This window comes from Homo sapiens, chromosome 20, assembly GCF_000001405.40.
Source record: "Homo sapiens chromosome 20, GRCh38.p14 Primary Assembly".
Lineage (NCBI taxonomy): Eukaryota > Metazoa > Chordata > Mammalia > Primates > Hominidae > Homo > Homo sapiens.
The window spans coordinates 43,926,550-43,941,450 of NC_000020.11; the positions used below are offsets into that span (position 1 = coordinate 43,926,550).

Here is a 14,901-nt window from a genome sequence, read left to right on the forward strand (position 1 = left end):
GTGAACCGAGCCCTCTGTAGAACAGCGAGCATAGACCCTATACTAGGTTTTAGTGCCTTTATACACTGTACAGTCTAAGGAGCTTTTCAGTTCAGGATCGGTGTAGCGCTTGTTCCCATTGGGGCTGTCTCTTTTCTCTCCTGTATCAGTTCCCTTCTTTCTCATTGCAATTCCCACAGGGAGTTTTTAAGGACCAATGAAACATTCAGACTCACAAGATGAACACAGGGGACACTTGGCACCAGTCTCCTCGAAAGATTTGGGACACAGCCTGACACAGCCTGCCAGCAAGGCACGTGAGCTGTTCTCTTCTGCACAAGTAATTCTTGCAACAGTCTCCGCAGTGGTCCACGAAGGTGGCCAGGAGCTATTCTCTTTGCTGCCCCCTCCCTCCCAGGATCTAGTTCAAGTGCAAAGGAATGAGATACACAATGGGTGGCTGTGGAAGCCACCCTGGCTTAGAAGCCTTATTGTCCCAGCTGCCATATCCATTGTAACAATTCCGTAGGCTTAGCTTCAAGGACCCAGGGACATGTCAGGTACAAATTTCTCTGCATCTAGGAAAACCCAAATTATGGCTTCTTTTTCAGATATTTATAACTTATTTATAGTTCCTCCCAGTTCAAATGCAACTTACCAATCAGGGGTCATTTTTACCATAAGCAGAGTTGCCTGGTAACATAGTTAACGTCCCACTTTCCTCAGGTTTCCAGGGGAGTTATGCTCCGCAATTAACAAAGGTGAAATTCTCTTGCAACAAGGAAAAGGGTTTGGTTAACCCTTTCCCCCATATTCATCATCCTACTTTTTTCCCCTGTGGGCTGGTATTTTTGGCATCTCTTTTGGAAGGACGAATGGAGTCCTCAGAAATATATTCCACACTGTGTACATTTTCTGATGATCTATATAACACACACACACACACACACACACACACACACACACACACACACACACACACATCATGAGATATGCTTTGGAGTCATACTGGCCTGGGATCAAATCTTGGCTCTTGGCTTTGCCACCTATGAAGAGTTAATTTCCTTCCTTCCTTCCTTCCTTCCTTCCTTCCTTCCTCCTTCCTTCCTTCCTCCCCTTCCCTTCCCTTCCCCTTCCTTCCTTCCTTTCTTCCTTCCTTCCCTTCCCCTTCCTTCCTTTCTTCCTTCCTTCCTTCTTTCCTTCCATCCTTCCTTCCTTCCCTCCTTCCTTCCCTCCCTCCCTCCCTCTTTCCCTCCCTCCCTCCCTCTATCCCTCCTTCATACAGCCATCCAAGGAGCATGCACTGCCTGCTGTATGCAAGGCTTTGTGGTAGGTGCCAGGCAGGAACAGGTAATTAAGACATGGTCCTTTTCCTTGAGAAGCATGATCTTATTAGAGAGACAGAAATAAACAATTTCAAATGTGTGTGGTAAGCATTATGTTGAAGTAGCACAGGGGAGTGTGGGACCACCAGGCTAGGCTGGGGACAGTCAGAAAAGGCTTCTCAGAGGAAGGGACACTTGCCTGTGCTTGAAGGTGAGTAGAACTTGGCCAAGTGAAGAAGGTAGGGAAAAGCATTCCAGGTAGAAGGAACAACATATGCAAAGGCATAGAAGGTGCTGAGAGTGTCAAGATGTGAGGCTGAAGAAGGGAGCCAGGGGCATTTGGAAAGCTGTTTATTATCTCTGACTTCAGTTTTCTCGTATACAAAATGTGATGAGCAATGCTTACTTGTTTATGAAATTAAATGAGGTAATGATGTATGTTTAAGCACCTGGTGTAGTTAGCTTCAATTCCCTTTCCAAATCTGTCTACAGATGCCTAAGAGCCAGGCTTTGATTTTAAATGAGAGAAGGAATAAAAAGCACTGAAGGGCCTGGCCGCCCACTTGCACAGTGCAGGTTTCCTGCAGCTGCTCTTGTGTTGGTCGCTTTATTGCTGCTTTGGACGGAGCACTAAATGTCTGCATGCCGACCTGGATTACGTCCTTCAGGATCAGCGAAGCACATCATTGTGTTTTCTTAATGGCTCAATGCTAACAGCAAGTCACGGCCTGTCGAGGTGTCCTGTGGGACAATTTTTCATCTGCCTATGGCCATGCTTCTGTCTGACGCTCTGTCAACACGCCCTGTCATTCGCTTCTTTGTCTTGCTTTGCCTTCCACATGCCAGCTGGGGAAACTTCGCTTTCCATGGAGTTTGGAGACATTTACTATCCAGTGACCAAAGGTCAGGATGAGCTGAGGAGCCATGGTGGCCACCATCAATGTCTTTATGATGCGTAAATTGGATCCTGTCTCTTCTCCATACAAAGCTACTCAGTGGGGCCGGGCGTGGTGGCTCACGCCTGTAATCCCAGCACTTTGGGAGGCAGAGGCGGGTGGATCATTCGAGGTCAGGAGTTCAAGACCAGCCTGGCCAACATGGTGAAACCCTGTCTCTACTAAAAATATGAAAAAAAAAAAAAAAAAACAACAACAAAAAAACTGGGCATGGTGGCTCGTGCCTGTAATCTCAACTACTTGGGAGGCTGAGGCAGAAGAATCACTTGAACCCTGGAGGCAGAGGTTGCAGTGAGCTGAGATCATTCCACTGCACTCCAATCTGGCGACAGAGTGAGACCCTGTCTCAAAAACAAACAAACAAACAAACAAACAAAAACAGGGAAAAAAACCCCCACAAAGCTGCTCAATGGCTTTCTGTTGTAGCTTGATGAACTCTTACAAACCTAAATCACATCTTCTTAGGTTTCTGCTTAAAGCCTTCCAGTGCTTTGCCCTGGTGAGTAGATAACATCCAACTCCTTTGGCCCATAAGTCCTCACGTGAGCTTGCCTCTGCCTGCATTTCCAGCCTCTGTTCCAGGAACCAGGCTTCATGCTGGGGACATGGTGATGAGCAAAGTCAGAGTCAGTCCCCCTCAGTGACTCCATTCCAGTCACCTGGCCTTCTTGCTATTTCTCAGATCCCCCCACCCTGTTCTTTTGCGCTTGAGGGGCTTTGCACATGCTGTTCCCTTTGCCTGGAATGTTCTTGCCCTCATTCTTTACATGGCTGGCTCCTGCCCAGCCTCTGACCTCAGCTTCATCCTCGTCTTCCCAGAGTCTGACCTGCTCATCTGTGCAGTTGTCTTTCTTTTTGTCTACCATAGCCTCTGAGTATTTTTATTTTTTAATTTTTTATTTGTTTCTTTATTTTTTTGAGATGGAGTCTCGCTCTGTTGCCCAGGTTGGAGTGCAGTGGTGCGATCTCAGCTCACTGCAACCTTCACCTCCCAGGTTCAAGTGATTCTCCTACCTCAGCCTCCCGAGTAGCTGGGATTACAGGAACACACCACCATGCCCGGCTACTTTTTGTATTTTTAGTAGAGACGGGGTTTCACCATGTTGGCCAGGATGGTCTCAATCTCCTGACATCATGATCCACCCGCCTCGGCCTCCCGAAGCGCTGGGATTACAGACGTGAGCCAATGCGCCCAGCTGCTTCTGAGTATTTTTCTTCGTGGCATCATATATCTGTGAAATTACTTGGTTGCTCCCCCTTCAGGATAATAAACTTTAAGAAGCAATAGGCTCATGCTTATTTTGTTTACCATTGCATCCCCATGGTGTCTGACCTATAGTAGGTGCTCAGTAAAAAGTTGTTGAAAGATTGAATGAATGAATGAGGCAGGTTATATTTTTCAGAGATGACCACCGTAACATAGCCCAGGCTGTGTTTCTAAGAATAATCCACTCACCCTCTCTGGGCCTCACTTACCCTGTTTATATGTTGTTGCCAGGAGGATTAAACACATATATGTGAGGGACACAGTGTTTGGGGCCTGCAAGTGTTAATCCATGTGAATTCTATAATTCTCCTTGTAGAAACATGCCAGGCCCATCTCTAGCTGAGTCCAAGGAGGAAAGTTGAGATATGACTCAAGAGGGATGATGTTTGAAATCCTTGTCCTCATGGCTTTTAATCAATGCTTGACCCTTTGGGGCAAGGCTGGCAGATGCAGCCCCTGTTTTGTCCCCTTCCCATCTCCCTGGGAATGATGACCTTGCCTTTGTCAGGAGGGAGGCGTCACTCCCAGTTGCTTGGGCTGGGGTATCTGGGGCACAGTTGGCCTGGCCTTCGGAGATAATAAAATCTCTCTCCAGCCCATGGGAATGTTTCTGTTGAGCAAGCAGGACTTTTTGGTGGCTTCTCTCCTGAAGTTATCACTCTTCTTTTTTAAAAAAATTAAACTGTAAATTATGAACACTATGTTACCTGCCAAAAAGTTTAGGAAATGAGGGAAATCACCTGCTATGATCCCACGGTGCAGATTCAAGGGCAGTGTTTGACACTTTGCCTTCTTAATACTCAAGGCTTGCAAACTGCACTGCCCTACCATGGTTTTCTGGAAGCCCCTTACCCATCGCTTTCTTTCTACCTATTCCTGATGTTTATTGTTTATGTCCTTCTCTCCTCCCTCCTCTATCCCCTTCACTAGAATGTCGGCTTTGGAAGTGTGGGGAATCTCTGTCGTTTGCTCATGGGTGGAGCCTTCAGAGCGACTCTGACTGCCAGGCCTCTGGTTTTAGTGTTTCCCACCCACCAGGCAAACTCCTACACATACATCTTTTATGTTTTTTTTCTTTAAAAGACAGAGGCTTGCTCTATTGCCCAGGCTGGAGTGTAGTGGTACAAACATGGCTTACTGCAGCCTCGACCTCCTGGGCTCAAGCGATCCTCCTGCCTCAGCCTCCTGAGTAGCTGCGACTTCAGGCACAGGCCACCACACCTGATAATTTTTAAATTTTTTGACAAGGGGTCTCACCATGTTGCCCAGGCTGGTCTCCAACTCCTGGGCTCAAGCGATCCTCCCACCTCGGCCTCCCAAGTAGCTGGGACTACAGGCATGTGCCACCACGCCTCGCTAAACATACACGTCTGTTAAATTTCTGCTCAAGCGCCACCCCCTCCTGGAGGCTTTCACTGCTATCCTCCCCTGTGCTCCTGCCCTTCCCATCTGGCATCTCTGACACTGTGGGCTCCCTGGGGCTGGGCTGCCCAATGTCCATAGGAGACATGGGCTTCAGAGGCCATGTCTGGGTGCTTGGACGTTGACTTAAGAGCAGTGGGAGTCCTGGAGGTGTGCTGCGTTTTAGAAGAATCTTTGCAGTTGTTCTGTGGGGGAAAATACTGGACGGGGCAAGAGTGGAGGCAGGAGAATAGTTGGGAGGTGGTGCCTGTGGCTCAGGGGAGAATTGATGATGGCTTGTGGCCATGCTATCCAGTAAGGTAGCCAGTAGCCGTGTGTGGCTCTTTTCATTGAAAATACAGGAAAATAAAACAAAATTTAGTTCATTCACACTAGCCATATTTCGAGTACTCGCTAGCCACATGTGGGTATTTTAGCCCCTATTGGGCAGCGCAGATACAGACATTTCCATCCCTGCAGAAAGTTCTGTTGGTCCACTCTGGCTTGGACTGTGGTGGTGGAGTGGAAATGAAGAGAAGTAAGGGCGTGGGAGGTAACAGGAGGGAAGATGTATGCAGTTTGGGGATGAGTTGGATCTGGGGTATGGTGGAGAGTGGGGTATCAAAGAAGACTCAGGAAGTAAAATTTCTGGGTCAAAAAAGAGTGAGCATTTTTATGGCTCCTGATTTCTGCTGACCTGTCATTTTCCAAAAGGGTCATCACCACTCACCAGAAGCATGAGAAAGTGCCCATTTTATCCTGCCCTCCTGGCACAGCTTATTACCTTCGGAACACCCTTCCATTGTGTATATCTCTTGCCAAATCTGCCTTCATTTAGGGTCTAGCATGTGGACCCTGAGGTCTTTGTGATCTCAGGGACTTATATGTATATTAATGCAGATTTCAATAAAAAGAGTTATGTTTGCCATTGTGGTACGGTCTGATGCTGTTTAAATGCCTTCGGTAATATCTTCAATCAGACAGCAAATAGAAAACAGGGAAGTTAGTAATAAAAAATGAATTAGGACGATTAGCAAAAGGTGAACCGCTTCCCTCCTCAGGCGACAGGCAGAGTTGACGGAGCTTTGCAGGGTGCCTCCTGTCCAAACACACGTCTGGATTATTGCAGCCTTTGGGGCTGGCCCTGGGGTCTTCTCTGCACATAGGACTTGGTTATTGCATTTAGTTTTGCAAAGGTCATGGACATCCCCTCGGAGGGGCTTTGAGGGGCTCACACCAGGATTGGGGGCCCGCACCCTGGGTTGGGTGAAGGCAAGGGGTTGGAGAGGGGTTGCTGCCCCCCCCCGCCATTTCTGACTGAGGGCAGGTCAGCGGCTTCTTCCTCTAAGCAGAGACATCAGTGGGCCTTGCTTCCCTCCGTGCATCCTCCAGGGGCCTGGACAAATCTCATCTGCCCCTCTTTCTAACACCTTCCCCGGGGTTGCTTTTGGGGAACATTTCCTGGCTGTCTGGTGGCAGGGGCAAAGTCCCTTCAAGAAGGAAGTAGAGGCAAAGGCTATAATTGACTAACGCAGACCCTGGGGCACCAAAGAGAAACAGAATTCTAGTGACCAAGTAAGTTCACTAGAGTTTAGAGCTCAACAGAAGGGTGAGAAGCTTCTACCTGGGTAAAGTTGGGCATCACACTCACCTGGAGCAAAGGGGACCACGTTGACCCCCACAGGTGGTGAATGTCTCCGTTACCTAGCTCATTTCTGTAGCTGCAATACCATCAGGATTTCAACATGTGAACTTTGGGGGGACCACAGCATTCAGACCATAGCAGATAACATGCACATTAGCAATACGATTGCCATGACAGAGTGGTTGGTGTGGTTAATACCCAGGTTAGTTGGCTGATCCCCACAGAGGGCTGGTGACTGCCTACCTCAGGCCAGCGCAGCTGAAACTGAAGAGCACCTGAATCACATGAGGGTCTTGTGAGAACGCAGATTCTGATTCAGTAGGTCTGGGGCGGGTCCAGAGATCTGGCATTTCTAACAAGGGCTAGATGTTGCTGCTCAGGGGGCCATGCTTTGAGAATCAAGGCGCTTGTGTTAGGCTGAGATTCTAGAAGCAGAGCCTGAGACGAGGGTTCTTGTGCGAGAGGTTTGGTGGGGAGTGATTGCAGGAGAAAGGGGGAAGGCCCTGGAGCAGGGATGTTACGAGAAAGCGGGTCCCACCTGGAGGCTGGGGTGTTGCCTCTGCAGCCCACATGTCAGTTAGTCATTGGCCATGGGCTGCCCAGGACAGGGAGAGGTATCATGCCTCCTGTGCCACCTCCCAGCAGGTATTTCTCCAGAGGGAGCAGCTGTGGGCAGCTGTGGGCATCAGCACTCAGCCCCCGGGGTGTGGGTGCACAGCCTGAAAGAGGGGTTCTGGGTGGAACTCGTGGTCATCCAGTCACAGTATCTTTGCCTGAGGATGGCCTTGAGGAGGGTGGACTGGGAGGCAGGACTCGGGCTCCGATGTGGACTCTGCTGTGTCCCCTGGGGTGGCCGCCTCTCCTTTCTGGGAGCTGCGTGTGCTGCAGGTTCACAAGGTGATGGTTTGGTTGGTCCTTTGTTCTGGTCCTCAGGCTGTGATGGAAGGTGAGGGTGGGGATGGGGGGAGGGTCTGCACAGGAAGAGGCAGCTCTTATTTCAGAGCCCAAGGTAAGGAGAGAGAGAGAGAGAGAGAGAGAGAGAGAGACCTGCCCTCAGTCAGAAATGGCAGAAATTACCACTGAGGCCTGCAGTGTTCAGGGAGGACTTCCTGGCAGAGGGAAACTTTAGGTGGGACCTCCAAGAAGCATAGGAGGAGAACATAGAGGAATGGGGAAAGGCAGAGGCATTTATTTAGCATCCATCACAGGATGGGTATTTCACTTACGTTATTTATTTAATCTTCACAACAATCCTATGTAGAAAGCCACCTCCACCGTGCAGGTGAGGAGCTGAGGCTTGAGAGGTGAGGGCACTGGGCCGGGGTCACAGTGGGATTGGAACCCAAGCCTGCTTGCCAGGAACATACTTTCTCTTCCTAAGGGACCATACCACATAGGGAGGGGGTGTGTGGAAAGGGGAGGGGAGCTGGAGGCCTTGGGAATTACTGCAGACCTGACTGGATGGGCAGAGGCTCGTGTAGAGGGGGCTGGGAGGACACTGACTACCAGGCTCTGGGGTTTGGATTCTGTATGGGGAGCCATGGAGGGCTTTGGGGCAGGCGTGATGGTGCAGTGTCATGCCCTCTGTCCTGGGACCCTCTTCCCATCCCAACTCTGAGCCAGCTTCTCCACATTGTCCACCCTCCCTGGATTCAGACTTCATCTGTGTGTGTGTTTGTGTGTGTGTGTGTGTGTGTGTGTGTATGTGGGGGTGTGTGTTGGGGTGGGTGGAGTCCATCCTGGACCCTTTCTGTAGACCATTTTTTGGACATTTGGGCTACTCCAGACAGGGGTCATCTATTTTTGCTGTAAGTGTTTTGTGGGGCAGAGGCCAGGCTAAGCTGCCGACAGCATCCCTGGAATCATGCTCTGTCCAGGAATCTTAGTGACAGCTGGGTGTCTGGCCACTGTGGTGAGCCTTCCTTCTCTACCCTTCCCATGCAGCCAGCCCCATTCTGTGCACTGGTGCCTTGGGGGTGAATGGAGGAAGGAGCACAAATCATTATCCCAGATGAAGACAGATTGGGCTTGGGGTGCGTCAGGACCTTGTGGGGAGGATTCGGTTCTGAATTATTTTCAGTCTTCTTTGCTCTGTCCCCACCTCTGTGGCCTGAGTTTTCTCTCCCAGTCAAAGCTGGGAACATCCAACTCTTTCTCCGCCATCTTCCCTGTAAGCCTCTCCTGCGTAGGATGTTATATAAGCTATAGTCACAGCTTGGAACCTGGCACGATATGCTGATATCAAACATGGAAACTGTTAGTGCTAAGCTGCTATGTGGGGATAAGATGGTCGAATGAAAGGTACCAGTGGAGTTGGGGCGGGGACGAGGAGGAACTACTGTTCAGTGAATACCTACTATGTGCCAAGCACTGTGCTAGGTGTCTTTTGTGTACTATCTTATTTAACCCCTACAACAGCCCTGCAAATTATGTATTACTATTAACCATGTCACAAATGGGATACCTGAAGCTCAGAGAAACTTGCCCAAGGTCACACAGCCTGTAAGAAGCAGAGTGGATCTGCCGGGTGGGGTGGCTCATGCTTGTAATCCCAGCGCTTTGGGAGGCCGAGGTGGGTGGATCACCTGAGGTCAGGAGTTCGAGACCAGCCTGGACAACATGGTGAAACCCTGTCTCTCCTGAAAATACAAAAATTTAGCTGGGTGTGGTGGTGCATGCCTGTAATCCTAGCTACTCAGGAGGCTGAGGCAGGAGAATCGCTTGAACCCAGGAGGAGGAGGTTGCAGTGAGCCAAGATCATGCCATTGCACTCCAGCCTGGGCAACAAGAGTGAAACTCCATCCCAAAAAAAAAAAAAAAAAAAAAAAAAGAAGCAGAGTGGATCGTGAACCTGAATCCGTCTAGCTCTGAAGTCATGGTCTTTATTCTGCACCACATATTCTTGCATGCACAGGGGTCTTTAGCTTCCTTTTGGAGACCCTTTCATGTGTTCCTCATTGAGACTCAGACCATCAACCTGAGAAGCCTTGGCATGGCGTCTTGTCATTCCCACTGGTAGAGACAGGCAGACCTACCCACAGAGGTGAGTGCCCACCTTGTCCCAGCTCAAGGCAATGTCATAGGCCAGCAGGCTCAAACTCAGGGTCTGAACTTTCCTGATCCCAGCTGCTTCCCAGCCCCCAAGAGGCTTTGTTGTTTTCAACTTGATGTTGAGTAGACCAGACACATGTTCTTTGGCTGTGAGTATTATCAGCGCAAATGCTCTTATATTAGCTCCTGTATTGGTTGTGTATTGCTTCACAGTAAGCCACCAGAATTAATGGCTTAAAACAATAACCATTTCATTAAGCTCATGATTCCATGGGTTGGCTGCAAGGCTTCCTGGCTAGGCTGGTTGTCTCTACAGGCTCTCCCTCCCTGCATCATGGTCAGTTGGCCAGTGGCCTGGGAGCTGGGTGATCTAGGACAGCCTCCCTCGTGCAGCTGGCAGTTTGCATGCTGCTGGCTGGGGGCTGGCTGGTTGTTGGCTCAGCTCCCCACATGACCTCCTGTCCTCCAGCAGGCTAGCTCGGGCATGTGCACCTGGGGCTCCCAGGCTCCCTGGTGCATCAAGAGAGAGCAAACCCCAGTGTCCTGGTGCTTTTCAAGCCTCTGCTTGTGTCACCTTTGTTGTTGTCCCATTTGTCAAATACAAGCATATGGCCAAGCCCATATTCAAAGCATAAAGAGAGAGATGATGAGAGGAGTGGCAGCCTCACGGTGCCAAGGGCATGCATGCAGGACAGGAGGCTATGATTAGGATTAGTGGTCATCTTTGTAATCTACACAGCTGCCCCCACTCTTCAGACAGCAGACATTCATCGAGTCCCTGCTGTGTGCCAGGCACTGTGGCAGGGAACAAGACAGGCCTTGTGCTGTGGGCATGTGGCCTCTAGTCTAGCCAGTGAATAATCACATGATGAAACATAACTAAAGCAGAACAGGTGTGATGAAGGAGAGCCACACAGGGCCGGGAGACCAGGCAACAGAGAGCTCTGGGGGGACTGTGGGAAGACTAGGAGTTGCTAGATGATGGGCACGGGGGAAGCATTCCAGGCAGGGAAGAGCACGCGCGAAGGTCCTGTGGAAGGAGGGGCCTGGCACACTTGACCACTCCAAGAAAGTGCCAGTTTCTTTTAAGTGTCGGCAACCTTGGGCTGGGAAAGGAACTTCTGGTTCGCAAAGGTCCCCTGAGCATTTCCGTGCGATGCAGTCTCAGGAGGGAGGTGGCTGATAACCTTCCCACGGGCAGCTCCTGGGTTTTGTGGGCTGGGAGAGGAGACCCAGGAGGGATTTGAGCATTGGGAAGGGTGTTGTGGGCACAGAGTTCAGTTTGAGGAAGGGGGAGGAGGAAGCAAGGAAGGGGTCAGTTGCAGAGGATTTGGGAGGGACTGGTGTGTGAGGGAAGTGAGGGGTTTTGGACTCAGTCCTGCTGGCTGGTGGTCTTTGAACCATGGACTGAGAATGAGGTGATCAGATGCTGGGGAGGCCCGTAGGGAGGGTGCACAGAGGAATGACTTGGGGACCCTCCCCAGCCACACCCCAGGTCTCCAACCCTAAGCCAGCCTCTACGTCCATGTGCAGGGCTGGGAGGGCCATCCTGGGGGCGACCGCAGCATCGAGTCCCCATGCGGATCTGCCTGCCCAGTCCCATAAGCAGCCTTTGATGTCCCTGGAGCCTTCAACAGCTTCTCTGAAGGCAGATCAGGGGCTGTGGTTTTGGAAAAGGCCTAGCATCACTGGGTGCCAGAATCATGATCATAAATGAACCAGCACAGATTGGAAAAATGGGAGGAGTCTGGAGTGTGGGTTCCAGCTTCTTGCCAATGTCTCCATGAAACCGTGCAAGTAGCTGCCCAGTCCTGAGCCTCCGTTTTCTCACCTGGAAATAGGGCCAGCTCCCATCCTCCCTGGGTCAAGTGAAGAGGAAGCTTTGAGGGCTGTTAACCTCAGCACCTTCAGTCTAATGCTTGTGGACAATGCGGGCACCCCAGTGACTGCACGGTGGAGTGAAGCAAACTCTCCTCTTACCAGGACCCATGTCAGTGGAACTTTCTTCCCCAGAATAAATAGAAACCATGGCAACCGGGATATGTCATGTGGACTGGCAGCCTGTCCCAGTGATGGCCAGGAGAAGGGCCTGGCACAGATGCGGGCCCCACTCACAACTCCACCCGCTGTGGGATGACCCACCGGGACCCCTTAGTCCTCCCCTCCTGCCTGAGGTAGGACTGAGAAGTTCAGTCCTGACCTTGGGTTTCCATTCAACCTCAGATTTTATTATTACTTAATAGTAAAATGCTTGTCCCGGAAAGCACGTCTCAAATGAGATAAGTTGAAGCAATCCTGGCTCCTGCCCCATGTCCTGATGGGTGCACTAGGAGTTATCAGGATACTGCTGGATGTGGGCACTGAAATGGCAGCAAATCTACTCTGAGAGGGAGGGCGCTGAGCCTGTGAGCGCCTTCAGTCTTCAGATGGCCAGCGAGGTGGTGGCATTAATATCCCACTTTACGGAGAGCCTCAGCTCTTTACCCGGGATTCACAGCTAGTATTTGACAGAGCTGGCATTCGAACCTGCATCTTCATGCCCCAGGACTTATTTCCACACTGGCTTTAGCTGAACTGGAGGCCCAGCCACCACATGGCAGGCAAAGAGCATTTGTCGCTCCCTGCATTGAGGGGGTGACTGGTCTGTGACGCCTGCCCCCAGCACAATGGGTCCAGGGGTGGTAGAGGGGCATCTGAGGCAGCTTTGAAGGCCAGGGGGTTTTTCCAGCCCTTGTGTTTCTGCCTTATGGCCTCCTTGTGCAGCTCTGGCAGGAGTGGACAGGTGCCCTCGCTTCTAGAAGCATGGTCTTGCCTTAGCTGGAAGTTGAGGGTGGAGCTTCCTGGAGTCGCTGGCTTCACCTGCCTCTGCAGCCATCCAGACAGGATGCCAAAGCCCCAGCTTGGGTAACCCCCTTGTCTCTTGGAGCCCCAGTGTCCTTATCTGTAAAACGAGGAGATCAGTGACTCAGGGACAGCATAGCATAGTGGTGCTGTGCATGCACGTTAGGTCCTAGGACCTTAGTTCCAATTCTGTCTGTGACAATTACTAGCTGTGCACATCTAGTAAGTTACTTAACCTCTCTATGCCTCAGTTTCCTCCTCTGTGAAATGGGGATAATAATTGCATCTACTTAATTTGTGGTAAGGTTTGCATAGGGATTTCATCATATTGGGACTGGAGGAGTTGAGTAAGAAGAAAGGGCAAAACCTTGGTCTAGCTTCCGCCAATTTCTGGGCAAAAGCTGAAGTTAGCACAAAGTCAGCCCAAGCATGCTCCACTGCACTCAAAGTACAGTTCTGCTGCCAGAACCCAGCCAGGGGGAGGGGATGGGAACTGTATAAGAGTAGGACGGATGCCAAGACTAGTGAGGCATTTTAACAACATGAGGCTGGAATGTGGCATTGTGTAAGTCCCACAAATGAATATGTGCGGTGAGGTTGGAAGATAAGCGAGGGTTCATTTGGTGAGACCATTCGTATAGTCAGACATGAGTTTAAACTGACCCTGCAGCTTAGAAGCTGTGTGGCCTCAAGAGCTTACTTAACTCCTCTGAGCCTGTTGGCACACCCAAAAAGAAAAACAACTCATTTCATTTTGCTAGATTGTCTAAGGATTAAAGAGATGACAGAAAGTACCAGTGCCTGGCACAGAGTAGATGCTTACTAAGCACCCCAAGAGTGTCTTATGGGGTGCTTATGTGATTCAGTCGGTGCTGCTGCTGAGTGACCACAGGGATATGCTCAGATATGCTGCAGAGGTTTCCTTCTGTAGTTAAAGGGCAGGGAGTCATGCCCTGTATGAGACATTTTTCCTTAGGGAAAATGAAGTCATGGGACTTGTTCATCTGGATAGTGCAGTCCAGGGGTGTATGGGGCTTGGGGTACTGCAGGCAAGTCCCTGGGACAGTGTGGCTGAGGGATGGGGCATTGGGTCTAGGAGCTTGGTGCAGAGCTCAATCAGGAACCTTGAAAGAAAACACAATGTGAAGACTTTCTACCTTGAGGACAGTGGGGCCGTGGAAGGATTTTAAATGGTGGGACGTCACTTTTTTTTTTTGAAGAGTTGGTGTCCTACTCTGTCACCCAGACTGAAGTGTAGTGGCATGATTATAGTTCACTGCAGCCTTGAACTCCTGGGCTCAAGTGATCCTCCTGCATAAGGCTCCTGAGTAGCTGGGATTACAGGCATGCGCCACCATGCACAGCTAGCTTTTTTTTTTTTTGTCTGTTTTTCAGAGATAGGTCTCGATATGTTGCCCAGGCTGCTCTTGAATTCCTGATCTCAAGCAATCCTCCCATCTCGGCCTCACAAATTGCTGGGATTACAGGTGTGAGCAATCGCACCTGGCAACTTTTTTTTTTTCCCCCAGGAAAACTCTACTAATTGGCCTGGAAAATAAATGGGGGAGGGTGAGCTAAGGGGCTGCTATGGGGATCCAGGCCAGAAGGGTGAGAGGCTGAGCCAGAGTCGCAGGGATGGAGGGAGAAGAGGTGACTGCAGAGGATGAGGCAGCTATCAGGGCACCCTAGGGGTGTGGTGTGGCACTTTAGTGGTCAGTGCTTTGCAGAGACGAGGCACATGGGATTAAGCAAACACAAAATCCCAGTGGGCATGAGGATGTAGACCAGGGCACCTTAGAAGCGCAAAGCGGCTTTAGTCACTTCCCTTGCGTGAGATTTGTTTAATAGAAGCTTGCAGCTTCGCAGCACTTAACAGGTGCTGACGGGGGCATCACAATATTGTGAAATTAAGCTGTGAAGCCGACTTCATTACCAGCTTACCTGGCGATGAAGCAGCTGCCTTAGTTAGCACTGATGGTTGGGCATGACAGAGCTAAAATTGAACTTGGCAATTACTGCTCATGAGAGGTTCTCAGTACTGTGAAAGGAAGGTTCCATGGAAATCAACCCTGGTAATCACAGGGTTTAAAATTAGTCAGTTACTATTAAGGTTGCTCTGTCAGCATATGCTTCAGGGTGATGTGAGGGAAGGGGGCGTGGAAGCTTGGGTTTGGGCTGTTGTGGGTTACCTTATGTTCACCTGCACTGCATTTAAGAAAAAAAGTTGGTTCTAGGACAAAGGTTCGAGAGTCCCAGGGTTAATATCATGGTGCAGGGTGGCCATTTGGATAATAGGTGGTTTTAAAGCCTTTTTTTTTTTTTTTGAGTATTTTTTGAGACAGAATTTCGCTCTTGTTGCCCAGGCTGGAGTACAATGGCGCGATCTCGGCTCACTGCAACCTCCGCCTCCCAGGATCGAGTGATGCTCCTGCCTCA

The 14,901-nt window shown here is 50.2% G+C and overlaps 1 protein-coding gene across 6 annotated transcripts in view, besides 2 other annotated features; it reads left to right on the forward strand.

Moving 5' to 3' along the window:
* TOX2 (TOX high mobility group box family member 2) overlaps nt 1-14,901 on the forward strand; it is a 154,765-nt gene that overhangs the window by 11,698 nt on the left and 128,166 nt on the right. The gene's annotated exons all lie outside the window — the stretch shown is intronic.
* Nucleotides 9,535-10,035: an enhancer, noted in NCBI's record as "H3K4me1 hESC enhancer chr20:42564724-42565224 (GRCh37/hg19 assembly coordinates)". NCBI's record gives its function as "activates a minimal SCP1, AML or CMV promoter by ChIP-STARR-seq in naive H9 embryonic stem cells {active_cell/tissue: H9 hESC(naive)}" and the evidence as "EXISTENCE:reporter gene assay evidence [ECO:0000049][PMID:30033119]".
* Nucleotides 10,036-10,536: an enhancer, noted in NCBI's record as "H3K4me1 hESC enhancer chr20:42565225-42565725 (GRCh37/hg19 assembly coordinates)". NCBI's record gives its function as "activates a minimal SCP1, AML or CMV promoter by ChIP-STARR-seq in naive H9 embryonic stem cells {active_cell/tissue: H9 hESC(naive)}" and the evidence as "EXISTENCE:reporter gene assay evidence [ECO:0000049][PMID:30033119]".